The 27,992-nt window shown below is 50.5% G+C and overlaps 1 long non-coding RNA gene across 1 annotated transcript, besides 3 other annotated features; it reads left to right on the forward strand.

The window, feature by feature from the left end:
* The first annotated feature begins 86 nt into the window (after positions 1-86).
* Positions 87-27,953, forward strand: LINC02714 (long intergenic non-protein coding RNA 2714). Its single transcript, NR_147836.1, has 2 exons — positions 87-684; positions 25,216-27,953. It is a non-coding gene; the product is annotated as a long intergenic non-protein coding RNA 2714 (long non-coding RNA).
* Positions 7,137-7,431: an enhancer, noted in NCBI's record as "tiled region #2456; HepG2 Activating DNase matched - State 5:Enh". NCBI's record gives its function as "activates a minimal TATA promoter and a strong SV40 promoter by Sharpr-MPRA in HepG2 cells {active_cell/tissue: HepG2}" and the evidence as "EXISTENCE:reporter gene assay evidence [ECO:0000049][PMID:27701403]".
* Positions 11,994-13,193: an enhancer, noted in NCBI's record as "BRD4-independent group 4 enhancer chr11:134617746-134618945 (GRCh37/hg19 assembly coordinates)". NCBI's record gives its function as "activates an origin of replication core promoter dependent on BRD2, P300/CBP, MED14 and CDK7 cofactors, and independent of BRD4, by STARR-seq in HCT116 cells {active_cell/tissue: HCT116}" and the evidence as "EXISTENCE:reporter gene assay evidence [ECO:0000049][PMID:35650434]".
* Positions 13,230-13,911: an enhancer, noted in NCBI's record as "NANOG hESC enhancer chr11:134618982-134619663 (GRCh37/hg19 assembly coordinates)". NCBI's record gives its function as "activates a minimal SCP1, AML or CMV promoter by ChIP-STARR-seq in naive H9 embryonic stem cells {active_cell/tissue: H9 hESC(naive)}" and the evidence as "EXISTENCE:reporter gene assay evidence [ECO:0000049][PMID:30033119]".
* Positions 27,954-27,992: the final 39 nt, after the last annotated feature.

Here is a 27,992-nt window from a genome sequence, read left to right on the forward strand (position 1 = left end):
TCGTGGGCAGAGTGGTGAGCGACGCAGAGCTGGGGTTCATGGGCAGAGTGGTGAGCGACGGAGAACTGGGGTTCGTGGGCAGAGTGGTGAGCGACGGAGAACTGGGGTTCGTGGGCAGAGTGGTTGGCTGCCCCACTGTCAGCCTGTTCTGAAAGTAGGAATGACCCTCAGCTGAGCTGAGATGTTGCTGGTGGAGACTCTAAGACTGTGGATTCTGACTCCCTGGGCTCAGGAAGGACGGTGCTGGGAACAAGGTGCAGACAAGGCACGACGAAGCTGGAGTGCCTCATACCACCCCCATGAAAGCGACGAAGGACTCCCAGAACCATTCCTGGGGGCCCGTGGGAACGAGGACTTTGGGGGCACAAGGACGAGCTGAAGAAGTCTTCCTGATTGTGGTTGTCAGAGGGAGGACATGGCATCGTGGTGGGCCAGAGTATCGGCCTCAACACCACCCACTTTTCAGGCTGCAGTCTCCACCGTGGCCGCTGTGTGCATTGGAGGGCACTTGGCAGCATCCCCAGCCTCCCCACTAGAAAACCAGATGCCAGGAGCATATGCGCCCCTCCTCAAGGTGCAACCACCAGAAACGACGCCAGACATTGCCAAATGTCCCTTGAGGGTGGGGACAAATGCCCCTCATCCCCCTTGAGGACTGCAGCTGGAACTCAATGAAGAGCAGCGGTAAGTGTCTCTTGAAGGGTCTGTCCACGGCCATCCGGGTGGCTTCATGGTACACGGGAGCCCATGTGGGATCCTGAAGTCAGAGTCCAGGACTGGGCCTTGGCTCAGTTATCAGCTGCAAGGTCTTGGAGAAAATCATTAACGGAGCTGCACAGTTTTCTGGGGAGTGGAAAGGCTGTGGAAACGGCAGTGAGCCATGGAATCACAGGATAAACAAGAAAAAGGGCACTTCCCCCTCTCCCTCCCTCCCCTGTGTGGACTCCAGCAGAAGGCTCCTGGGAATGTGTCCTCTGTCCTCAGTGCTCAGTTACATGAGCGGCACCTCCACTCTCCCCAGATGGTGTCCTGTTCTGTGCTGAGCTCTGCACTGAGAGTTCTGCCCTGAGGTCATCCCTTCACATCCCAGGCTGGTGCTGGCATGGGCCTGTCCCTGGGCTCTGCCTGGCTCCTGTACCTGCCCCTCCACGAGAGGCCACTCCATCTCCTCCCCAGGCCCCTCCACCTGGCACAGACACCCTCTGCCCCTGTGAGACTTTGCCCCTCTCTGCCTGCGTCCCTGTCACCACTCCTCCATCAGCACAACCACAGCACCTGTGGGATCTCCTGGGAGGGACAGGAGGCACAGGCAGTCATCACCTGTGGGATCTCCTGGGAGGGACAGGAGGCACAGGCGGTCATCACCTGTGGGATCTCCTGGGAGGGACAGGAGGCACAGGCGGTCATCACCTGTGGGATCTCCTGGGAGGGACAGGAGGCACAGGCGGTCATCACCTGTGGGATCTCCTGGGAGGGACAGGAGGCACAGGCGGTCATCACCTGTGGGATCTCCTGGGAGGGACAGGAGGCACAGGCGGTCATCACCTGTGGGATCTCCTGGGAGGGACAGGAGGCACAGGCGGTCATCACCTGTGGGATCTCCTGGGAGGGACAGGAGGCACAGGCGGTCATCACCTGTGGGATCTCCTGGGAGGGACAGGAGGCACAGGCGGTCATCACCTGTGGGATCTCCTGGGAGGGACAGGAGGCACAGGCGGTCATCACCTGTGGGATCTCCTGGGAGGGACAGGCAAAGTCATACCGAAGCCTCAGGCTCAGCAGAGCACAGCCTTGATGGCACCGGGTCTGGCAGGGACCACGGCTCTCACAGGGTCCCTGCCCCAGGTCCCACCTTGGAGGAGGGTTCTTGGCATGACCATCCCTCGAGCACAGGTGTCCCGGAGGCCACGTGTGTGGACCCGTTGCCTGTCCTCAGGACTTGCAGGCCCAGGCACAGGGCAGATGCCTTCCCAGCCCTCCTGCTGCCCTGGGAGCCATGTGCCATGGCTGGTGCCCCCTCTTTTCTCCCCAGGCCCCTGGGATGGTGCCTGACATCCCCTAGCTGATTTGTCCCGCCCTGATCTTCCTTGAATGAGGGGCACACGTCTAGGGTCATGCTTGTGGAATGCAGGTTTCTGAAGTTCCTGGTGCTGTTCACGGCAGAACGCTGGGCTTTGAGGTGAGGCAGGAGCTGGTGGGCCTGAGCCTGAGTGAGTTTCTCAGCTCAGAGGGAGGGCAAAGCGCGTGGAAGGCTAAGCTGCTTCGTGAGGCAGCTGCACCCTCACCCCAGGCCTGGGCTCCACCCTGAGGCTTTCCCGCCTACTGTTCACATCCTGGGAGTTTGGGGAAAATCCTGAGAAATGAGGCCCAGGCTCCCTCCTCCCCACTTTCAAGCCAGAAGGGTGTAAAGAGTGTGGTCAGAATGAACATGAAGTGGCGCCTCCTGCCAGGGTCTGCCTGCCTCTTTCACAGGTCTTCCATCACCTACTCCCCAGGACGGCCTTGGAGGCACCTGGATTCCTCCCACTCACTGATGCCACAAACCTGTAAAACGACTTGTCCAGGGCCACACATCTTAAAATCTCCCACTGTCAATCACTAGACCCCATTTCTTCCAGAGGTGTGAGATTGTCCTTAGGCAGCGTGACCTGTGCCATTAGAGTGTGTGCTCTGCGGACAAAAAAAATCATCCTGAAGACATTTAGATTTGGTTTCATTCTGTATTGATCTTTATCGTCAAATTTGCCTCCTAATGGAATTATGCCTGTATCAACATTAAAATGAGCATTCCTTGAGCTCACAGCGATGGCGTGTGTGTCTGTGTGAGTCTGTGTGTCTCTCTGTGCGTGTCTGTGTGAGTCCGTGTGTCTCTCCATGAGTGTCTGTGCGAGTCTGTGTGTCTCTCCGTGCGTGTCTGTGCGAGTCCACGTGTCTCTCCGTGCGTGTCTGTGCGAGCCTGTGTGTCTCTCCGTGCGTGTCTGTGTGAGTCTGTGTGTCTCTCTGTGCGTGTCTGTGTGAGTCCGTGTGTCTCTCCGTGAGTGTCTGTGCGAGCCTGTGTGTCTCTCCGTGCATGTCTGTGTGAGTCTGTGTGTCTCTCCGTGCGTGTCTGTGTGAGTCTGTGTGTCTCTCCCTGCGTGTCTGTGTGAATCTATGTCTTTCTGTGCGTGTCTGTGTGAGTCTGTGTGTCTCTCTGTGCATGTCTGTGAATCTATGTCTTTCTCTGTGTGTCTGTGTTCATATCTGTAGGTTGTGTATGTCTGTGTGTGTGTGTGTGTCTGTATGCATATAAGTCTATACGTGTCTGTGTGTGGGCGTGCGTGTTTGTATGTCTGTGTGTGCCAGTGCTTCTATGTGTGGCAGTGTGTCTGTGTGTCCCTATGTGTCTGTGTGTGCCTGTGTGTCTGTGTTTATGTCTGTGTGTGTCTGCGTGTGGTTTGGGTTGGAGCTGGCGGAGGCAGGGTTGATAAGAGGAACTGGTTTAGGAAGCCAGAAGCAGCAAGGCCGACAGGCCGCTCCCGGAGACTGTCTCCCTCACCCCTCACCTCCATGGGTGGACTGCCTGGGTGCGGGCAGAGCCTGTGCCCTCTTTACCAAGTGCTGCGGCACAGCCTGTCTTCCTGACCTCATTCCTGCTACTTTTAAGGCACCGTATGATGTGTACTTGTGAGTATGTGTTGTGTGTGTGTAGTGTGTGTAAGGTGTGTGTATGGTGGGTGGTCTATGTATAAGTGTGTATGTGTGTAGTGTGTGTGGTGTGTTGTGTTTGGTGTGTGGCATGTGTGTGGTGTGTGGTGTTTGTGGTATGTGTTGCGTATGATGTGCAGGAGTGTGGTGTGTGTGGTGTGGTGTGTGGTGTGTTTTTGGTGTGGGTGATGTGTGTGGTGTGGGTGGGTATGGTGTGTGCAGTGTGTGTGCTGTGTGTGGTGTGTATTTGTTGTGTTTGGTGTTTATGGTGTGGATGTGTGGTTTGTGTGGTGTGTAGTGTTTGGTGCGAGAGTGGTGTGTGTGGGTTATGTTTGGTGTGTAGTGTGCATGTGGTGTGCGAGGTATGTGGTGCGTGTGGTGTGTAGTGTGTGTAGTTTGTGTGGTGTGTATTTGTTGTGTTTGATGTGTGTGGTGTGGATGTGTGGTTGTGTGGTGTGTGGTGTATTTGGTGTGTGTGTGGTGTCAATGGTGTTTATAGTATGTGTTTGGTGTGTGCGGTGTGTGTATGTGGTGTTTGTGGGTTGTGTGTGGTATGTAGTGTGTGTGGGTGTGGTGTGTGGTGTGTGGTATGTGTGATGCATGGTGCGTGTGGGTTGTGTGTGGTGTGTAGTGTGTAGCGTGTGTGATGTGGGGGGGTGTAGTGTGTGTGGTGTGTGGTATGTGTGATGCATGGTGTGTGTAGTGTGTATGGTGTATGTGGGGTGTAGTGTGTGTGGAATGTGTGACGCATGATGTGGGTGGGTTGTGTGTAGTGTGTGTGGTGTGTGTGGAGTGTAGTGTGTGTGGTGTGTGTGATGCATGGTGTGTGTGGGTTGTGTGTGGTGTGTAGTGTGTAGCGTGTGTGATGTGGGGGGTGTAGTGTGTGTGGTGTGTGTAGTGTGTGGTGTGTGTAGTGTGTAGTGTGTATGGTGTATGTGGGGTGTAGTGTGTGTGGTGTGTGTGATGCATGATGTGGGTGGGTTGTGTGTAGTGTGTAGTGTGTGTGGGTGTGGTGTGTGGTGTGTGGTATGTGTGATGCATGGTGCATGTGGGTTGTGTGTGGTGTGTGGTGTGTAGCGTGTATGATGTGGGGGGGTGTAGTGTGTGTGGTGTGTGGTATGTGTGATGCATGGTGTGTGTAGTGTGTAGTGTGTATGGTGTATGTGGGGTGTAGTGTGTGTGGTATGTGTGATGCATGATGTGGGTGGGTTGTGTGTAGTGTGTAGTGTGTGGTGTGTGTGTGGTGTGTGTGATGCATGGTGTGTGTGGGTTGTGTGTGGTGTGTAGTGTGTGTACAGTGTGTGGTATGGAGGTGCTGCCGTGTGGTGCATGTGGTGTGTCTGCTGCATGTGTGTCTGGTGTGTGTGTCTGTGTTGTGCTGTGTGTGGTGCATGTGTGGACGGCTTTTGAGCGTGGTTGTCTGTGTGAGCATGTTTGAAGACACGTATGAGGGTCATGGAAGGCACCTTTGCACCGTGGCCTTGACAGGGACTAGGACGAGGAGGACTCAGAACAATGTCAGTGGTACCTTCAGAAAATCCTTTTACCACTGACTCTTTATGGCATCAATAAAACGGTGATAAAAGTCACACGTGCCTCAAGGGTGGTGCTGGAGATTAAAGGATGTAGGATGCATAAACCCTGCCATCCTATGATGGGGAAATTGTCTTCTCTGTTGGGCCTTTTCTCCCCTGTGTTTGGAGCATTTTAGTTTCCCCCATAACTCCTTGCTTGCCTGCAGATCATCATGCTTCAGCTCCTTTCTAACATAAATGCTCTTATGAATTGTGCTGCTATAAACACGTGAGTGCAAGCGTCTTTTTTGAATATTGAGTTATTTTCCTCTGGGTAGGTACCCCGTAGTGGGATTGCTGGATCTAAGGGTAGTTCCACTTTCAATTCTTTAAGGAATCTCCACACTGTTTTCCATAGTGGCTGTTTTAGTTTACATTCCCACCAGCAGTGGAGAAGTGTTCCCTGTTCAATGCATCCACACCAGCATCTACCGTTTTTTAATGTTTTGATTATGGGCTTTCTTGCAGGAGCCGGGTGGCATCACGTTGTGGTTTTGATTTGCATTTCCCTGGGGGGAGGAGAGGAGGGGGCGAGGCATAAAAGACTACAAATATGGTGCGGCATATACTGCTTGGGTGATGAGTGCACGAAAATCTCACAAATCACCAGTAAAGAACTTACTCATGTAACCAAATACCACCTGTGCCCCTAATAACTTATGGAAAAATAAAAAAATAAATAAAATAGATGCTCTTAGAAGCACCCAGAGGAATCCTTACCTCCTGTTTGACAACCCACCCTCTCTGGCCACAGAGGAGGGACAGGTCAGGCCGGAGTAGTGTGTGCTGTACTCAACGCTGCCTGCAACCCTGAGGACTGATGTAAGTCTTCCAAATTCAACACGCAAGCTCTGCCTCCAGTTCAGATCAGCTTTTAAAAGGGGCGGACAATGTCTTATCTAGAGGGAAATTCCACAGATGCTTGTTCTATTTCCAGGTCTTGCCATACCAGGGTGGGATGAGAATATTTGTTTATTTTACTTCTGAAGAGATCATTTTTATTTAGGATATGTGATAAAAAGGCTGCTTGAAAATGCCACATCCCAGAGGCAAGAAATACCATGTGGGCCTTGGAATCAGAAAGTGCTGGATTTGACATTCCACCATCAACTAGTGGTTTGTTTGTTTTTAAAATTTGGTAAAATACACATAACAGAATATTTACCATCCTAGCCATTTTTAGGTACATAGTTCAGTAGCGTTAAGTACATTCACGTTGTTGTGTAGCCAGCAGTGAGGTTTTTAACCTCTGAGATGTTAACTCTCTGAGCTCATCACCACCATCGTCATCCTCTCCGGCAATGCTAAATATGGAGGCTCCTAGTGCCAGGAGTGAAGCTTGCTGAGATCTGGTGTCAGAAAGAAACCACTAACATCCTTGAAGCTCTAAACGCGTGCCTCCTAGGCTCACAGCCTTACCACATGCCAGTCTCATCTCAGAGGCACTGGGGTCTGTGGCTTCCAAAGGTTTATTACATATGACTTTTTAAAAACACTCAAGCATCTGTGCACAAATATGTTAAATTATTTTCGCATGACAGGTGCTGGGGAAACAGATGTATATGATATTGTTCTGTTAACCTAAAATAATCAAAAATACCAGAATCCAGTTTAAAGCTTTTATGCAAGTGAAAAGCTAGGGATGGGAGACAAAGACTCCAGAGAAATAGGGTCAGGGCTCTAAGTTAAATGTTAAGTCCTTGCTTACATAGGCAGAGAACAGAGGTTTAGCAGGATTATAACTTTTTATACAAGGCTGGTTTATGAGTCACAGTAACTTAATTAGTTTGTTTTCTTTAGGTCTTTTTTTATTTCCTTTACAACTGGTTTTCATTTCCTTTCCAATTTAAAAGTGTGTATTTAATGTTTCATCTTCGACACTGTGATAATCATGAAGTTTTGTGTGAGAAAGATAAGGGAGAAGATAATCTATGATGAAGGTCAACAGTGAAGAGGGAGGGGGTTGCCCCTTGTGCTCTTTAGTTATCTGCAACGTTTAACCAAACAGTGTATGTGAGGACTAAGGCTAATCTATAATCAGAGAAACAAAGGTTACAGCTGCCTGTCACGTGACTCAGGCCCCTTACATTCCTTTAAGTCTCAAAACAATTTAGAGTGCCAGCAGCTTAGATTTTGAATTACTTATTTTCACAATTTAGTCGGTCATCAATAATATTTACTGGATGAGTGACTGCCAGGCCCTGTGTGATGGTGCTGGGTTATCACTGGGCACAAAGTAGACAAAGCTGCTGCCTGTGGATCCTGTGCTCTTGCTGGTGGCTGGTGGCTGCTGCACGTGTCTGAGAGGAAGATCAGTAGCTGCCCTTCCCCTCCTGACTGTGTTTCTCCTCCAGACCTCAAGGGTTCCACTGGTGAGAAGCTGTCCTCACGAGGTGCCCCCCACAGCCTCCCCTTTCTGCCTCCTCATTCTGCACCACTCTCCTTGTCCTGTGCGAATCATCCTCCCTTCTTATGTTCCGCGTTCTGACTTCTCACATAAACAGGAATATGCTTGGCACAGCAAAATTAGAAATTCTGATGCCTTTTTTTCCTCCTGATTCCCTTGAGATCTGATTAAGATATTTTGGCTCAGAAGGCTGGAAGTCAGGCTCAGCTCTGCGGTGCGGCAGCAACTCCACTCCCCGGCAAGGTCCTCCAAGCAGCTGAGCCAAGTGTGTCCATAGCCCTGTCTTCTCCCCCTGTCTCCCACCATTTCCTCCCCATCCCAGGGAGAATAACACCCTTCCTCTCACCAGGGTTCTGGTCTTCTGCGGGCACAGCCTAGTGTAAGGGTATTAAATTGCTGTGAATTAAACAGTAAAGAGTAACGGATGCTGTGCCCACTGGACTCCACATGGCTTACAGAAAGCATTCAGCTTCACCCTGGATGTGATGCCATACACCGCGTTTGCAGTCTAGATCTGGGTGGAGGCCACCATTTTGTAACATCTGGTGAGCATGCTCCTTGGTTCTGTGTTAAGAAAATGGAAATCCTGAGGTAATAAATGGTAAGGCTGATGCTAGAACCTAATGTGGGTGTTTACCTTTCCACAAGACACTATGAAGTATCTTTGAATGGGAAAAGTCCTTGCTCAGTGCTTGAGGAAGATTTAAGCTCCTTTCTGAATAAAAGTGGTTTCCCTCACTCCAAGGGTAGCTTTTGGTTGTACCTTTCATCAGGAAAGCAATTACAGTGGAATTCGTGGACCTGAGGTCCTTCCTGTCATCCCTGGCCCTGGGGGCTATTTGCTGCCTCGAGCTGTTCCCAGCTAAGCACCTGCTCTCAGAGCTCACAGCTTCAGGCCTCTAGGGTGGCTTGTGCCACCCCTGTCTCCTCTCCACAGGAGCAAGGAGAGTCCACTAGGACATGTGGTGCCATTGGGACAGGTCAGCAAAGTGGTGATAGACAGTATAGGTGGGAGACAAAGGTCAGCCACGAGAAGTGAGAGCAAAGGAGAGAAGGAACAAGCTGGAGAAGTGGATGGACAGAGTGAAGATGCTTTGGAAGGAAGCAGGGAGGGCATCGGGAACTGCTGAGAGAGAGAGAGGGAGAGGGAGATAGAGGGGGTAGAGAAGAGGCAAGGGGGAAGAGAGGGAGGGAGTGAGAGAGAGAAAGAGGGAGAGGGAGATTCAGGGGGTAGAGAGAGGAGGGAAGCGGGAGGAGAAGGAGGGAATGGGAGAGAGAGACAGGGACAGGGAGAAATGTAGGATAGCCACACAAAAGAAGGATTAAGAAAAATAGCAAGAAGGGTAGCCAGAACCTCCCCCCCACCACACACACACACACACACACACACACACACACACACACACACACACACAGAAGTAGGGACAAGAAATAACCATGGCATGGAATGTGACAGTTCTTATCAAATTACCATGGTTTTCAATATGCATGGTGTGCTGTTATCACTGGCAAGAAAATCTGAGCATTATTTATTCTCTTCTCATGACTAGATAATTTCACACATAGTATGACATCGAAAATCAACTCAACAGGCCCAAATAGTCACTTTTCCCTCAGAATTATTCGAAAATACATAAATCAATAATGAAATTTATTTGCTATGGCCATCCTACTCCTCACGCATCACCTGCCCTCACTTTTCTGGTGAAATTCCCCATGCAGTTTGATTTTAAAACTTGTTTTCTTCTTGTTCTTTTCTTTTCATTTGTTTGTTTTTGGTGGGGGGAAGGCTGTTTCCTTTCTGCTTCCTCGGTTCTGCCAGGCACATCTCGGGATAAAGTGCCTGAAGAGGGCTGAGTGGAGGCTCTGGCACAGAAGATTTTGGGTAAGACAGGTCACCTCTCATCACATGCTACGTGACAGTTACCTGTAGTGTGCAGGGGGGGGAAGCAGGTCATGGGGTGTCACTGCTGATTGATTAGGACATGGACAAAGGCACCAAGAGCTCCGCAACATCCACTGGGAACAGGCTTGGCTGGGGAGCTCTTCCCTGCCTCGGCATATGGAGAGCACCATTTGCTGGCCAAGAACCCTGTTAAACCTCCCGTCCCAGAGCCCACTGTAGTTCCTTTCTGCTACACACATTCTTTCCCAGAGCATTTTCACATCTATCTCATTTCTGCATCATGACAGTTGTGTGAATCAAGGCATGCATTACTTTTCCAGTTTGGCATTGATACATAGCAGGAGTTCAGTAGACATTGACTACTTACTAACTAGGATAACTGAAACCCAAAGAGATTGAGAAGGAAAAGAAAACATCTAAAATCATGCTTAGAGTTATTGTTAGTGGAGATTGTGCCTCCACTCACAACATCACTTTACTTCCCTTGTCCACCATAAACTTGGTCCAAACCCACTCAGTTGACCTTCGGTCTTCCCTCAAATTTTTAACCATGGGACTGCATAGAATGGTGGCTTTGTACCTGCACCAATATCAGTAGAAAGGTTTGAGTACTTTCCAGCCCCAGAGTTCCCCAGCATGCTGGTGCCTAGGACCTTCAGTTGCCCTTGGGGCAGGGAGACTGGCTCATTTCTAATAGTCTTTTTCTTTAAAGCAACTGAGGCCTGGGGAGAGGGTTAGGGAGGCACTGGGGTGATAGAAAGAGAAGAAAGATCTGCACCAGCAAAAAGGGAACAACTCCTTAATTAACAGGCAATAGTGGGAAGGACTGTTTATTTCCCAGTCAATTATACAATTTAGTGAACATGTTTCCTACTGATTTCTACGGACTTCCCTTAAATCCTATTAATAGACCTTTGAGGTCCTCATAGTTTCTTTTACAGAAAGCCATGTTGTGGTCAACATCCCATCCTCTTTACTACAACTGTCAGAAACTGAAGGATCTGAGACTTTACCCTACAGGGAAGCTAACAAGGTAGCCTACCGCATTTTCAGTGATGGTGGTAGAAAACAAGAGACTCCTGGGTCAGAAACAAAGGACAGTTTATTACTCACAGCAAAAGCAGTAGATAGAATATTTTTTTGTGGCATTTTGTGCTACTTCCATGAGCTCCAATTTCCACAGGATGATGTGAAAAGGGCCAGATGACATTTTCACATGCTGTACGTTGTATTACAGGAGAAGAACTCAGAACTCTTGAGTTGAGGGAACTGGAAACTTTTATAATAGGATTAACCATGCCTGTCTTTTGTTCCAGGAGAGACATTATCTTCATTGCATTGGGCAATAAGACGCCTGCCCTTTGCTCTGAAAGATGACATTATTTTTATCATCCAAGGTTGTTTGCTGTACACACATTCTTGAAAAGATTGTCTGGAACAATGGTGATCACTGTTTTGCTTATAATACATGAAGTGTCAGAAATCCATGGAGAACTGTCTCCCAATGGACTTCCAACTCTTCACTTCCAAGAAACTTCTGCTTTCTTCCTGAGGTGTATTCTCCATGTCTGTGTAAAGTAGGAGTGTATCCTTGGTGTAAAGCTGGATACATGGTGATCGCACCCAGCGTGACGTCCTGTGCTGTAGTACTCCAGCTCCTGCCTGCTTCGCCATCCTCTTTCATGCCTTCAAACCTCTGTGTGTGTCTTTCAATGCCTTTGATTATTTTGTCAGAAGGACTAGTCTGATATGTTACTCCGCCATTGCCTGAAGCTTTAGTTTAATAGAGTCTGATTTATCAATTTTTAATTTTATTTCTTTCATGGTTAGTCTGTTTTGTGTCCTACTGAAGAAACTTTCCTATTTCAAAGTCTTAGAGATATCTACAATGTTTGCCTCTGCAATCCATCTGGGATGGATTTCTGCAAATGGGATGATGTAAGTGACACACACAGGCATTGTCTGAGTACAGATTATGAAAAACACTATCCTTTCCTGAGCTGCAGGGCAGTGTTATTTTTTGTCAGAAACTAGGTGATACTACATGTGTGTACTTTTGTCTTAATTTTATGTCTTATCCCATTGGTTCGTTTGCTCACTCTTGGGTGAAGAGCATGTTGTCTGAATTAATTTAGCCTTATAACATGGCTTGATGGCTGGTCATATTTTTAACACTCTTGGGTGAATGGCATGTTGTCTGATATAACATGGCTTGATGGCTGGTCATATTTTAAAATTTTGTTTGTTTTCTTCAGGATCATCTTGACTATTCTTAGTCCTTTGTGTTCCTATAAGAATTTTACAGACAGCTCATTGGTCTACAAAAATCATGCTGAAATTTTTCTTTGGGATACACTGAATCTAGGAAATTATTTTGGTTAAAAAAATCTGGATTTGCACTCTCAGGCCTCTCTCTCCTCTTATAAGACAGTTTGTGGAAAATGGGCTGATGTATTTGTCCCCAGTTTCATAACGAGAAGAGAGGGCTGTATTTCAGTTTCTACAGCCTCAATCGGATGAACTAGCTGAGATCTATGGGACTCTGGGCTGGCTTTTGCTGACTGCCACAAACTCTTTCAGGTCTCACATGCCTCCACATCTCTGAGTTCGTTTTTCTTCCTCTTTGCTACAGCACTGAGAAAAAGATGCTGGATCACTGTCTTACACAATAACAGCATGGCTCAACAGGTTTTCCAAAGGCATTCTGAAGCCTTCTTTGGAAGCACAGCATTTCTACCCCTTTATAAAGTGTTTAAGATAAACAGAAAACTAAAACACAGTCCCAGTATTGAGGGGGCAGGTGAGTTATTATCTTCTCCAGGAAAGGCTACAAAAGGACCCTTAACTGTCCCTCCTACCACACACATGGCAGGCTGGGCTGTATCTGCTTCATGAGTGGCTGTTTTCCTTATTTCTCTGAGGTTCCTTCTGGGCTATCTGGGCCATGGTCGTGCATGTAAGGGGCTCCTGGAACACCATGGAGTCCAAGCAGATGGGGGAGGAGGGGTGAAGTTGGAGAAGAGAAACAGTCCTTCTGCCTTACCTCCCAGGTGTTTCCATTCAGGAGTGAGTGTAATCTTGCCAGCTGCATAGACAAAACTAATTCACTGGAACAGATATTGCAGTAGAGAAAGAATCCAATTAATGCAGAGCTGGCCAAGTGAAATGACTGGAGTTTATTACTCAAATCAGCCTCCTCCAGAACTCAGAGGCTAGGGTTTTTCTGGGTAAGTTGGTGGGCAGAGGGCTAGGGAATGGGTGCTGCTGATTGGCTAGGGATGAAATCACAGGGGTGTGGAAAATGATCTTCATGAGTTGAGTCTGCCCCTGGGTGGTGCCCAGGACTAATTAATCATGAGTCATGGGTCTGGGTGGTGCCAGGATGCAAACGGTTAAAAAACATCCTGAAAGACAAATCTTAGGTTCTACAACAGAGATGCTATCTATAAGAGCACCTGGGGAAGTCACAAACCTTGTGATCTCTGGTGGAGTAAATGATTATAGAAAGGCAAGCTATGCCTGCATCTTAGCAGAATTCAGAGCTCTCCCATAATCCTAATCTTGTGCCCTTTCTTCGTTTTACAAAGACAGTTTTAGTTACCAAACAAGGAGGGGGTCAGAGTTAGGGAGGGACTATTATCATTCTTGCTTCAACATTAGATTGTAAACTAATTCCTCCCATGGTTAACTTGGCCTGTGCCCAGGAATGAGCGAGGGCAGCCCACCTGTGAGGCTAGAGCAAGGTGGACTCAGCCAGGCTACAATCCTCTCACTCTTGTAATCTTCGCTCAGGGACGTTTAAGAGGCTCCCTCCTGCAGCTCCTCCCTCATGTGTTCCTAAACAGCTGCAATTTTCTCAGTGACTACTCAGCCATGCTGCGGGTCCCTATCCACCCCCTGGCCCATCCTGGGTGTTCATCAGACAGTTCTTTCCCTCAGTAGCAGAACGTTAATTGTTCTGCAATGTGAGGTGATCTGTCTCCTGAGGCTCTGGACCCCACCAACCTCCTCAGTTTAGACACATCCCAGTAACCTGAGACAGTCCTGTTGTTTCTGTCTCAAATTCTGTTCTCCCCCTCACAAGCACATAATTAAGTGATTATAACTACTCTGGACACCTAATTCACATGCAGATAAGCTTGTCCCCAGGACCATTTGTACATTTTAACAAGTAATTAGCAATGTTAATACTGGCTCTCCCCTCAGGACCCTTGATGTGTGTGAAGGAGACTGACAGATCAGAATCAATCTCAATAGAAAGAGACTTGTTCCTTCCCCTTGCAGGCAGCTGGAGTCTTTCCAGGAACTCAGCACTCATACTTTATTTCTTACTGTGAAGTTTTTCATCTAATATATTTGACTTACCCTAGCTGGTCATTTGGTCCCCTCTGATCCAGAAAACAGTCACTCTGGGCTGGTGTAAAGGCTCTACTTTTGGGTCCTAGGAGTTATAGGAAAGCTCTGTGAAGCTAGTGGCCTGGCAAGGTGGGCCAAGGAGTCAGCACCAGGTCAGAAGGCTCTCTACTGCCATACAGTCAAGGAGGTGAGTAAGGCTCTCTACTGCCATACAGTCCAGGAGGTGAGTAAGGCTCTCTACTGCCATACAGTCCAGGAGGTGAGTAAGGCTCTCTACTGCCATACAGTCAAGGAGGTGAGGGCTAAGATGGCAGCTGGTTTGTTGGTGGTGGTGGTGTTATGGTGTTATGGCCAGCCAGGTGTGAGTCAAGGCAATGTGGTATTGGAGGTGAAAACCTGGGTTTTAGTCCTGATTTTGCCTCTCAGACCTTCAGTTCCTTCATGAGCTGGATTCGAAAATCACTGCATCTTTAGGTTATGATGAAACTTCTTGAGGAAGCTATGCTGAGTGCCCTGCATGATGTGTGACATGAGGACAGCAGTTTCTGCAGTCCCCTTGGGAGGAAGAAACTCATTCTTACCCTATTCTGCCAACAGACATCACCTGCTAGTGTCAGAGGAAGCCAACCCCTGACACCCAGATTCTCTTGGCTATTGAAATGTTACCATAATATTTTTGACAGAGAGAAACACACCCCTCTGTTTTGGCAGTGGCAGTGTGAGAAGGGCAGCTCTGCTGCTGTGGAAACAGAGTCCAGTCTTTCATTATGGCAGGTTTGGTGGGGTCCCTGATGAAGGTAGTGCAAGGGCTGGAGGTGACTTTTCCAACACATTTCTGTGAGAAAGTAAAACTTGAGATAATTACCTGGCTTTTCCCAAATAATCAACTGCTTTGCAGGATGTGGCTAAAATATCTGAGTAGTTAGCTGCCTCAATGTTGCTTCTCAGTTTTGGCTTCTGAAAGAGATGTCATGAGGCTGTGCAAGGTGAGCCTGTGTACTCAGGTCCTGTCCCCTCACCTGGAGAGCCACGATGGCAGGGGTGGGGCCTGCATGTCCTATCTCCTGGGTGAGAAGTCTGGGGTCTGAGTTTCCAATCTCACAGACCCTATGTGCCCCGGGCAATGGGGAGCAGAAACCTTCTGGACTTTTCTCCTTTCTCCTCTACCACATTTGATTTCTTCATAACTACCTGCAATGTCAGTGAAACAGGACCCAGCTGATGAACTGCTCTCCACAGAAATGCTATGGCATGCTTGGCAACAAAAGTCAATTTTGAGTAAGGAAAAGAAGGGAAATAGGAGCCTAAATCCCAAGTGGCCTGACCACTAGGCTGTCAGCAGAAGCCTATGGAAATGCAGAGTTCAACCCATGTGAGTAAGTTACCTGCTGCTAAAATCAAGTGGCACCATGTGACACATTACCTCAAAAGTTAATGACTTACAACAAGAGACATTTTATTACACGTCATGATTTTGTCAGGCATTCGAGCCGTGCTTGGTGAGGCCCTGCTTTGATCCACATGGCTTTGACAGAGGTCCCTGGAGGCATGAAGTGGAGGATGGTCTGGAATGGGGCTCAGGGCGGCTCCACTCATGTGCCTGGTGCCTGGTGAGGATAGAAGGCTGGGCCCGGGGGACTCAATCCCAGAGCCTGCCTGTGGCCTTCACGTGAGTCTTGGGCTTCTCAGAGCATTGTACTCCCAGGGAGAAAAAGAGTGATCCTGAGGAAACATTCTGAGAGCAATCACCGTAACAGCCAGAAGTGGAAGCCAAAGGAACAGCGGGAGGAATCTGACATAGGTGACTCCATCTTGCTTCTGATCTCACAAGCCACTGCCTTTGCTCATTCCTGCATGTAGACCAAGCTAATCACGGGAAGAATTTAGATTGCAGTTTAACTTTGGCACTAATGACTGTCTCTCTGTTGAAACACACCCCCGAGGACATAAAGAATCACACACACAACAGTGCTATTTTAAAGATTTACAGGAACAAGGTGGATCTGACAAGTAGTAGACCAGGAGCAAAGAGAAAAGAGTTTTGCAACCTCTTCAGGCCCCTTTTGACATCCAGAGGTCACCTGTCACCTCCGCACCTTAACCGTTCCCTGTTTGCTTGTCCTCTAACATAGAAGGAGCCTAAAAATGTATCAGCGTCAGATGGTTCTTCAGGGCATTAGTCCACCGTCTTCTCACTTTGCTGACTCCTAGAATAAAATCATCTTTCTTGCCCCAGCACTTTGCCTCTGAACTTATTGACTGTCATGCAGCAGGCGGTGTGAGCTTTGGACTTGGCTACAATAAGAGCTCCTTAAGATCTGGGCAGCAAAACAGATACACGGTCACTTCTACCATTCTCCACTGGCTGAGCTGTCTCATCGTCTGCTCAGGACAGGGCAGGGGACGCAGTCCCACCTCTCCATGGGGGGTTGTGCAACCCTTTGCAGTTATCTTTAAATTCACTTCACTGCTTTTTTGAGAGAGTAACAGAAAAATAGTCACCATGAGGAAAGAAACCATGCAGTGTGACTGAGCCATGGGCTGCTCCTTCAACTCTAAAATGTGTTGCTGTTTTCAGTCATGGATGGAGCCTGACTGGAGACGCTCTGGGATACGGTTATGTCCTTGTCCTGAAGACCCTCACACGCTAGGGAGGGAGAGGGCATCTGACCACTGGCCAAGCTTCAGGGTGGACTGCAAAGGCTGATGTGGAGCCGAACCAGGGTTTCTAATTATTTTATACTCTTAACTCCAACCAGAGATGCGAGGTTCCAAATTCTGCCTCTGGCCCACATAATACCTCAAGGACAGATTCTTTGGGAAAGGCTGCCCGTTCACCTAAGGCCATTGTTCAACACATACTCGACTTCCCTATGCCGTGGCTGTCTGTTCCTCTATAGGCCCTGGAAATGGCCTCCTGCCGTGGCCTTGTCCTCTACCTCCCTACTGGACACCTGTCTGTATGGCCACAGGGCTGGGGAACTCTCCCACTTCTCTGAGCACCTGGTCACTGTGACTGAGGATGTGCCCATCCCTGGAGCTGGGACGTCAGGGTGGGGAAGGCCACCTCCACCTTGAGCTTGTGGGCCTCTGGGCCTGGGCCATCCTGGGGGGCTCTGAGAGCTGAGTGCTGTGGAGACCAAGTGGGAAGGATTTCTACATCCTGGAGGATATTGCTTCATCTTTAAAACTCATCTTCAGCCCCGGTAATGCTGTTTTTCAAAGAAACATGCCTTTGGGAAGAAACAGAATTGAAAATGAAGACGTTCCTGCTGCAGGACTTCTAAAAGGGATCAGCAGCAGCAGAGGCCCCACGGGTGAATGGAGAGGGGACACTGCTGCAGAAACGAGCAGGGACAGGCAGGAGGGTGGCTCTCCGAGGAGCGGCAGTGTCCTCTAGGGAGGGCAACTGCGGTAAAGCCAGCATTGCGGGCCACCAAGGCATCAGTTTCAGGCCACAGTAAGCCAGAGTCTTTCCTTGAAGGTTCGTTTGCCCATAATCCTCCTCTCTTGATGGATTCTTTTAAAAGTGCCAGAGCATCTGCAATTCTCTAGTTCCTGAAACAAAAATAGTCTCCAATTCTCACTCCTCTCCTTGGAGATTTGCCCAACACCACCCAAGCCCAAGGAGGCAAAGCTTCCCAGAGGACATATGGCTTATTACCAAGGCGAGAGAAGATGGTCTTGTGATGGTTCCAAGTTATCCTCAAATCAGTCTCCCCATCGCAGAGGGCAGGTGTCTCCCCAGAGTGTCCTGGAGGTGACCTTTCTTGCCTCACAAGGAGCAGGACTTGACTTCCTCCAAATGCCTGACAAGCTTCTGCCCGGGGGACTGTCAGTTCAGTGGCCCTGAGGGTGTCAGCTTCTTTTGCTTTTGCTTTTTATTTGCCCACAATCCTTCTCCTTACCTGATAGAATCTTCTCAAAGTTGTTGTGAAACTCTCAGACAGGCACCTTTCCCACCGCTGGGCACTGGCCTCTTTGCTGCCACGGAGGAGACGAGAGCGGCTGCCGAGAGCCTCAAGCTGAGCAGCTCAGGAGGAGCTCTGCATCCTGCCAGGCAGCGCTGTGGATGGAACTCCCACTCAGCCTCCTGTCTGGGGTTGGGGGAGGGTGTCTCAAGGCACCAGGAGCTGAGTGTGGACCTCCACTCCCCAAACCTGGCCCTTTCAGCGGTCCCCTGGTAGGATGGAGGCCGTCAGTCTCATCCGTAACAGCTGCAGGAAGCCTAGGGCTTGCCCTTGACCTGTCTCTCCCTCACACTCACTTTCTCAAGCACCTCCAAGGCCGTCTCATCCCACTCCTCCCCCAAGCTCAGTCTGCACTGAGACAGCTTTCCTGCCAGTGCTGCAGCGGCCTCTGCCATCCCCTGGCCTGCATCCCCACTGGTGACAGCCCCGGCTCATGTTATCCCTACCTCAGCTTTCTATGGCACAGAGTGGCTTAACACAACACAAAGATGACAGTTCTGTCATCAGAGCTGGACGTGGGTCTCATGGGTTCCAGTCAAGGTGCCCGCAGGGCCGCATTCCTCCCTGAGGGTGCTGAGGGTCTGTTTCCTTGCTCCTTCTGCTCATTCAGGTCACTGGGGGAATTCAGTTGCTTGTTGTAGGACTAAGGGCCTCTGACACACTCTTCTACCCTCCACTTCCGCCATCATATGACCGCATCCAGTTGGCCCAACTAGGACATCCAGGAGTACCCCCATCTCCAGGGACTTAGCACCACCTGTATCTGCACAGCGCCTCACGGTCTAAAGCAGTGTCTTCACAGGTCCTGGGGATTAGGGCGGGGACATTATCCCGCCTGCTGCAGCCACCTGGCTTCCACCCACCTGGAACTGAGGATGTAGTCATCCCTGGAGCCTGGACATTGGGTGGGGAAGGTCGCGGCCAGCCTGGGTGTACGCACTGCACAATGCTTGTCTTTGTTCTGCGGACAAAGAAGCACGTCAGTGGCTTAAGAGGTCCCAGAAGATTCACTGCAATTGTACCATCCATAAGTTTCAGTACTAGCATCCCTAGGGAAGGTGACGGGCTTAGGACCTCTGTAACTTCCCGGCGTGGACCCAAAATCTGTGTTCAGGGGTGGCTGAGTCCTCCTCACTGGGGCCATCTGACCCTCTGATGAAGAAAACAGCACGGTTTTTAGATTAGGCTGCCCAGTGTGCAGCACAAGCAGTGTGTCTACAGGGACACAACCTGAATTCGGAAGCTCGCACCCCGGAAACCATGGAGCATCTGTGGGGAGTGCAGGGAGAACCGGGGGCCAGGAATGGGCCAGCCATGCATGCACACGTGTTTGTGTATGGGCTGTGTGTGTGCATGCTGGGGTGCAGGGATGCTAAGAGATGCCCTGTGCTTCGTAGGCAATGCTTCTGGCAATTCTGAAACTTTGTGAGATGAGTTCTGTGACAGCTTCTGCCTCACAGATAGAAACATGAGGCACGGGAAGTTAAATAGCGTGCTCGGAGCTGAGGGCTAGTAGACGCAGATCCAGGATCCAGACTGGCTCCTGTTCCAGAGTTTGCACCTTTAGCCCTGCTCATGCTGCATCTGGACTGGGGCAGGTCTGTGAAGACCTTGTTTAATGAGGTTGATTCTATCAGCAACAGGGAATCATGGGAGAACTTGGAACTAGGGGAGTGTGGTCAGAATAGTGCTCCAGGCAGCAGCGCATGGATGGATTGGATGGGTCTAGAGACAGGGAGACCTGTCTATTTAGAGCAGGATGCCCAGCACAGGGACAGGATGGAGTGGGGCACTGGGTGCTTCAAGCCAAGTGTCCCGTGGATGAATGACCAGGCCAAGGTTTGGGTAGAGCATGGGGACGGTTGGGTTCTGGAGCATTAGAGCTCCCCACGGCTGCTGAACGGTTCCTCTCAGAGTCAGCACACTGAGTGGGGCCTTGTGAGGAAGGCGAGGCAAGCCGTGGAGCTATGAATTTACCTGCAGTGTCTTCTTTCGTGTGTGAATTCATTTGTATCATTTAATGCAAAGAATATCACAAGGAAATCAGGTGACTGGGGAGGCGAGGCAGCAGTGTCCTAGGCAGGGCATGGCATGCCAAGGTGTCTGTGACCCACTTCCCCAGCAACAATACCCGCTGCTGATGGTCACTGGACAAACCCAGAGTTTTGGGAGTTCTCGTTGTTAAGACCATTGTAGTTAGACTGTCACAGTCAGAAAAAGACTAGGAGGACACATGTGCCACCCTCGTTATGTTGGGGGAGAATTTCACCTTATCCATCCCAGAGAGCAGAGTTTCCTCTTTTGTAAAAGTGTGTATCAAGCAGAATCCACATTTTTGCTCTGTAGTAACACATTCCTTGTGTGTGGTGTTCTGCTACAATCTAGTAACAATGTGGTGGAGAGAAAGGAGGAAAATAGGCCACACCAAAGGACTTACTAGTTATGCAATGCACTCGAATCCAGTTTAAGTTCAGCGCTCTCATCTGTAAAAGTGGGGCAAGAATTTGCCTTTTGATGTTGGGAGATCAAGTTCTTGGCTGAGGGAGGGTTTGGAAATTATAGATCACTCACAAATGTTATTGCTGTGGGCGTTGGCAGTGTTGCCTCCAGAAAGCACTGTGGTGAAAGGAAGAGTCCATTTTCTGAAGCTCCCTCTGTCTCATCAGCTAAACTACTCCAGTGCCCAGAGCTCTCTGATAGACCCCTTCTCCAAATTAGAATCTTCACTTCAGAATCAGAGCGTCATCCTGATGGCATTGCTTCCCAAGTGCTTGAGTGCAGGAACATGGCTGCTAAGGGTAACCCCAAGGAAGGGAGGCTTCTAGGGCCCTGACTGAGCAAGCAGGCACCCCTGCCTGACTCCCCTCAGCATGAAAAGCATTACATTTCCTCCACCACCACAGGAGGGATCTAAGCTCATTTCTCCATTCACAGTCACAATATTTGATCCTGTGCATTCCCATACTAAGGTTTCCATATGTGGTAGTCATCACCATTATCATTAGCAGCAGCTACTGTAAATATTTTTCAGTGCCTTAGTATACGTCCAAGAGGTCAGCCAGTGATTCTTTGTCATGCTTGCATGGCTAAAAGTACAAATCTCTATGCCACACACTTGGCCAATTGACTCAGAATAACTGTGGCTAAGTTGCAGACGTGATATTTCTTAAAAGCTCCCCGTGGTGATCCCAATAGGTAGCCAGTGCTGAAAACCACTTCACTAGACCTTCAGAGGATACAAACAGATGTAAAACACAAGAAGGAATTGCCATCCAACTGAGGGAGACAGAGCTGGTGTACGCAGGGTCATAGGCACACAGGGCAGCTGATGCCCAATATCAAAGGCTGGCATTAGTGGACAGAGTGAGGTCATGCTGGGCAAAGTGAGGTCAGAAGGTGGAACTGAGCTGAGAGCAGGAGCAGAGGCCCCCTTGACAAGGGATCCCCATGAAGGTGTGAGTTCGGAAACACAGACTTCGGTAAAGAAAGCAGCCTGACCCCGCCTGCGAGGTGGAGGAAGGGGGGCATTCCGGAGCTCAAATGTGCTTACCTGCTCTGAAGAGGTGGGTGTGTCTTGCCTCTCAAGGCTGTCATTGGCCCCACCCTGCCCTTGGTGTCTCCAGGAGTACTGAGGGGATTGATTTGTGTCACACCCTCCCAGCTCTGGAAAGGGGGGTGCAGAGAAAGAACTGGAGCATGGCAGAGCTCAGAGCGTCTGGTGGTGGCCACTGAGCAGGCCAGGGCTGGACAGAAGGGTAGGGAGTTCCTTCCACTGTCTTTGTGCCCTCTATAGTTTCTCTAGCACTTTATGCTTCACTTTGCAAGCATTTAAGGAAGGGTCTTTCTGAAAGTCTTGGTCTATTACAACTGTGCTGTAGAAAACCAAAGACAGGGCGGTTTGTTGACACCTGGGCCCTTGACATAGCCTATGATCAGCATAATCTCAGGGGTGAACAAGCTGGTGGATGCAGGAATCAACATGACAGAATTCTGGGATGGAGGGGACCTAGACAAGGCTGGCTCTGACTGTTGCAACCTTAGCACGGTGTCTTTTTGGAATTTTTCTCATGTTGGGCCTCAGAGGACATGAGGTTTTGCTTCAGTTCCAGCAGGACCTCTCAAACCTCACATGCATCAGGGTTACCTGGAAGGGTTGTTGAAACACACATTGCTGAGTCCCATGCCCAGGCTTCTGACTTAGTGACTTTGGGGCGAGGCCTGAGAATCTGCATTTCTATCAGTGTTCCCAGGTGTTGCTGACACTCATTTGAGAACTCCTTGAGAACCTCTAAGTTGCAGAGAACTTTCTGTTTCCATGTGTCAAGGTCTGAGGGTCCATCAGCATGGCAAGGGGAGGGGTAAAAGGAGAGGGAGGAAAGGCAAGAAGGGTAGGTTCACTGCACCTCAAGTCCCAGCCCTTCCCCCAGTTCCACACATCCACCTGGTTCTTTCCCTTCCAGAGCCTCTCCTTCCTCCTTCTGTGAGACAGGAGTAATAGCACGTGTCTTACCAGCTCACTGAGCTTTGTGAGTTACTGTGAGACAGCATCACGGGATGCTTTCCTGAGCTGTAAGTGTCCATGCAAAAGCAAACAGCCACCGTGAAGTCACTGCAGTTTTCTGTGCTTGCTCTCTGTCCCTGACCCTGTTCCCTTGCTAGGGACAGGTGGAGAGCACGTGTCTCTGTTGTGCCCAGTGGGCCTGGCGGCATCCTGAATCCACGGCACAGGCACAAGCCGTCTGCTCTCCAGGTTCAGCAGGGGCTTCTTTCCCATGCCTGGCCCCGGAGGGTCCCCTGGGAGTCAGAGTGCTCCACTGAAAGGTTGTGGCATCTGGAGGGTCCCCCAGCCAAGCTTCCAAGACAGCTGGTCAACAAGAGGCTGATGGAGGTGGAAGGCCAGGTATCCGGCATCACTTTCACATCAGCAGAAACATTCCCTGTTTGCAGAGCACTGCCCTCAGGGCGGCCAGCCCAAGAAAGAATCATAAGCTCCTTTAGGAAGCTCTGATGAAATCACTAGAAGAGACAGTTGCAGAGGGGTGTGTGGAAGTCATTATTCATTGATTACCTACTATGCGCCACAAACCAAGCCAGGGCCTTCCACACACATCACTCATCTGGTTCTCACTGCACCATGTAACGTTGAATGGCCACACATGACAGAGAAGAGAATGCTGGGTGCAGCCAGTTTATGCAGCTTACCCAGGACCACAAAGTGAGGAAAGACTGCAGAATTTGTGGTGACCAGCATCCAGCCCCTCCGAGCCTGACATTGCACTCTGCCTTCCCCCACTTCCCCTCCAGGCCTGAGGGTTTGGGGCAGCTGCAGGGATTTGGGGGCTAATCATGGAGAGTCTGAATAAACTCTACCTGGTTTGGGTTTGGTGGGTATATTTATGTGGTTTGCAGGCACTCAAGTGTAGAGTATAGTAAAGACATATACGTCTAATGCAAATGACAGATAAACTCTTGGATTGTGAGATCATTAGTTAGGAACCATCTGTGGGAAGAGCATAAATATCTTTCTGAGTTGACTAGATATGTTGCTATCAATAAAGATCAGATAAAACAGTAAATTACAAAACGAGGGCACCCGTGAGAAACTGGCAGGTGTGTGCCATCGACTCCAATGTGACTGAGGACTTGGCAGTGCACAGAGCTCAGCCCGTGCACAGCAGGGACCTGTGTGTGCCATCGACTCCAATGTGACTGAGGACTTGGCAGTGTGTAGAGCTCAGCCCATGCACAGCAGGGCCCCGTGTGTGCCATCGACTCCAGTGTGACTGCGGACTTGGCAGTGTGCAGAGCTCAGACCGTGCACAGCAGGGACCTGTGTGTGCCATTGACTCCAATGTGACTGAGGACTTGGCAGTGTGCAGAGCTCAGCCCGTGCACAGCAGGGCCCCGTGTGTGCCATTGACTCCAATGTGACTGCACAGAGCTCAGCCCACGCACAGCAGGGACCAGTGTGTGCCATTGACTCCAGTGTGACTGAGGACTTGGCAGTGCTCAGAGCTGAGCCCGTGCACAGCAGGGACCCATGTGTGCCATCGACTCCAGTGTGACTGAGGACCCAGCACTGCGCAGAGCTCAGCCCATGCACAGCAGGGCCCCGTGTGTGCCAACGACTCCAATGTGACTGAGGACTTGGCAGCGTGCAGAGCTCAGCCCGTGCACAGCAGGGACCTGTGTGTGCCATCGACTCCAATGTGACTGAGGACCCAGCACTGCACAGAACTCAGCCCATGCACAGCAGGGCCCCGTGTGTGCCATTGACTCCAATGTGACTGCACAGAGCTCAGCCCATGCACAGCAGGGACCAGTGTGTGCCACTGACTCCAGTGTGACTGAGGACTTGGCAGTGCTCAGAGCTGAGCCCGTGCACAGCAGGGCCCCGTGTGTGCCATCAACTCCAGTGTGACTGAGGACCCAGCACTGCGCAGAGCTCAGCCCGTGCACAGCAGGGACCAGTGTGTGCCATCGACTCCAGTGTGACTGAGGACTTGGCAGTGCGCAGAGCTCAGCCCGTGCACAGCAGGGACCTGTGTGTGCCATCGACTCCAGTGTGACTGAGGACTTGGCAGTGCGCAGAGCTCAGCCCGTGCACAGCAGGGACCTGTGTGTGCCATCGACTCCAATGTGACTGAGGACTTGTGAGCCATCGACTCCAATGTGACTGAGGACTTGGCACTGCACAGAGCGCAGCCCGTGCACAGCAGGGCCCCGTGTGAGCCATCGCCTCCAATGTGACTGAGGATTCAGCACCAGAGCTCGGCCTGTGCACAGCAGGAAGGTCATGGAGGGTTCCCCTAATTTCGCAACAATCTGAAAAATGTACATCATTTAGTAATAATGAATTTATCAAACTCCAAAAAGTAAGCAAATTAACCACGCTAGAACAAGGAGTATATTATCTTCTGTCCTGGTTGTGGAAAATTATTTTACAAAATCATTGTTGTAGGATTAAGTAATCAAAGAGTATTTAGCCAAACGAACAATCAAAAACGTTAGCAAAAGTGTCAGATATTTGATTAACTTAAGTAATGTTATTTTCTTGGTTTTATGACGTTTCTTGGCCAGTTTTCTTAAATTAGTAATTAGTTGTGATTCTCTGCACTAAATATACTTACTGTTATAAAACTAATTTTTATTTATAATGTTTCTTTCTTTTCCTTTTTGCCTGCCCTCCCTCCCTCCCTCCCTCCTTCCCTCCCTCCCTCCTTCCTTCTTTCCATCCTTCCTTTCTCCCTCCCTTCTTCTTTTCTCTTTCCTTCCCTCCTTCCTCCCTCCCTTCCTCCCTTCCTTCTTGAAGGAAAGAAAGGGGCCACAAGCCAAGGCCTCTGCCGCAGCATCTAACAGCTGGAAAAGGCAAAGATACGGGATCTCCTGGAGCCTCGAACAGGAGCCAGCTCTGCAGACACCTTGATTGCAGCCCAGCAAGGCCCATGTCAGGCCTCTGGCCTCCATAACTTGATAATAAAGTTGTGTTTTAGTTCTTTGTTACAGGAGCAATATGGAGAGGGACTAATGAACTGCCATTGTATTAAACCACTGGCAATCAGAGTTGTTTGATAAAGCAGTCAAGTCAACCTAAGTAAAACACTTAAGGACCAAGAAATAAAGTCCTCACTTGAGGATAGTGAGATCTGAGAGCAGTAAAGCCACTTCCTTCTCGTGAGACCGACCCCTCTTGCAGACCTGCCTCTGGCCTGGCCCCATGGAGTGGCAGGCCCCGGTCCTCCGCTCTTCGGGTCACAGGTGGCCCAGCAGGCTCTGCGCACAGCATTTCGGCAGCACAGCAATGCCTAACTTAATACTCACTCCGGGAACAAGCCAGCTGCAAGCTGTCAACGCTAAGTCCCCCTAATGCTTTAATTGGTACTTACTCTAGTAAGTTCATTTAAAAGTCCCCACCTCTGCCAGATGCACAGTGAAGCTGACCCGACAAGAGGGCCTGACGGTGGCAGAGCAATGTGATAATTAATGCGTCCTGCTTTCCTCTGCTTGAATTAATGTTTTCATGTCACTTAGACATCACTCCTGGAAACCTTTCTGGTTTTCAGTAATCAGCAGTTCTCCATCCCAGAACCCAGTAGATGATCAATAAGTGGTTGCCGAGTGAACGAATGGCTGAGTCAGAGATCTCGAAGGGTCAGATTTCACTTGGTTCAAACCCCAACCAGTCTCTGAGAAACTGAGCCAGGGAGGCCTCAGGAGGCCTCGAGACGCCAGGGTACGAGCTAACTGTGGCTGGGAAGGTTGTGTAAAGAGGAATACAAAGCAGCCTGGGCATCCCAAATGCTGCCACAGACGTGTCAGAGTGGCTAGGAGCCATGGCCTGCACCCAGGCAGGGGCCACTCCCCAGCTGTGGGAGCAGAAGGGGCCCAGCACAGCCGGCCGCGGAGCCCGCAGGAGCCCCGGTACTCGGGAGGAGCCGGACGCCGACTCCAGCAGCGCAGACGCCGCCGGGGAGGCCCGTTGAGGAGCGCGCAGCTGAGTCCCGGTAGAGGAGGCGCCGGCCTGGAGAGGCTGGGGGCGGATCCGCTGGACCAGGCGGGGTAGCGAAGGGTGGAGTTGCACAGAGCGGCCTCGAGTCCGGACTGGGGAAGGCTCAGACAGGGGGTGGAACAAAGGCCAGAAAGGAGGCGGGGGTCAGACCGGGGCTGGATCATGAAGGCGGCAGAGAGCTCGGAGGGAGCCCAACAAGGCCGTGCTGCGGCCCGGTTTTCCTTCCGGTGCTGAGGATGGCGGCGGCCTGGTTTTCCTTCCGGTGCTGAGGATGGCGGCGGCCTGGTTTTCCTTCCGGTGCTGAGGATGGCGGCAGCCGCGGGACGGTGCTGAGGATGGCGGCGGCCATGGAAGGTGCTCCCTGCTTCTGCGCGGATCCAGGCCTTCGGGATCTCGCCCTCTGCAGTGCGGAGAACTCACTGGACGGAGACGAGAGAGGCGGCGGCGGCTGCACAGCTGGTGCGTGGGGACTGGGGGGCGGGTGAGCGCTGTCCTTGGCTGGGGAGGAAGCGCAGCCCCCGGAAGCCCGCCTGGGGCTGCAGGGAGAAAGGAGGGCGCCCCAGAGCCAAGGCTGCCCGCTGGTCCCTGCGACCGGGGCCCGGAGAAAGTGCGGGAAGGAGAGAGAAGGCTGGTGGCCGCCTGCCTCCAGGGCGGGCCTCCGAGCAGTGCCCTGTCCCAGCCACAGCCTTGCTTCTTTTGATCCTCATCACGACCGCTCTCCGGGCCAGGCCGTGGGTGAGGCCCCCAGGCCTTCAGGGGAGAAGCCGGGGTCTCCAGAGAGAGGTAACAGAGTGAGAACGGCCGTGGGTAGCGCGCCCCTCGGCCCCGCAGCTCTCCACAGGCCTCTGGCGAGCTCAGCTGACCTGCCCCATCAGTGAGGTCTCTGCTCAGCTACCACCTGCTCTGAGAAGCCTTCTCTGCCAGGGTGACTCATTACCCTGATTTGCCAGGACTGAGTGGGTTCCTGGAGCGGCCTGGGAGCCGGCGGCGGTGGTGGCTTTCCTGAGCCCTGTTTGTCTAATGTAGGCCCGGTTCGCACTGTTCATTCACTCTGCTCCTCAGTTACTTTACGGCAATTAACACCAATCTGTTCTCAAAACGTGAGGTCCTCTTGCTCAGGGCTGTGTTCCTAGCACGCGGCCCTTGCCTGACACACGGCTGACATTCAGCGCACATTTAAACGAGTAGATCAACTGCTCCATCTTCCCCCAGAAGCTCTGTCTGTCCCTCCACAACTTGGCTCATGCCATCTCTTCCATAAGCGCCGTGTGCTCTTCTCTCTCAGAAAAAAACTATTTGTTTCTTGACAGCTCAGCTCAAATATCAGCTTCTCTCGACCCCAGGCACGAGCGTGGGTCCCGAAACCCTGGTGCCCTCCACAGTGTGTGTTCAGTAAATGACTCTACGTTTATCCCTGTAGCTGCCAGTGTTATCAACTTTGGCCTATGTTTTCTGAATTATTTTTGAATCTTTATTTTGTAATCCAATCTATTAGTGACCCATAACAGGCCGTGTCATCCACAATTAAATAAATGTGCACTCTCTATTCATCTTGTTTTTATCTATTTAAAATAGGCTGCACAAA

Source organism: Homo sapiens, chromosome 11 (genome assembly GCF_000001405.40).
Source record: "Homo sapiens chromosome 11, GRCh38.p14 Primary Assembly".
Classification (NCBI taxonomy): domain Eukaryota; kingdom Metazoa; phylum Chordata; class Mammalia; order Primates; family Hominidae; genus Homo; species Homo sapiens.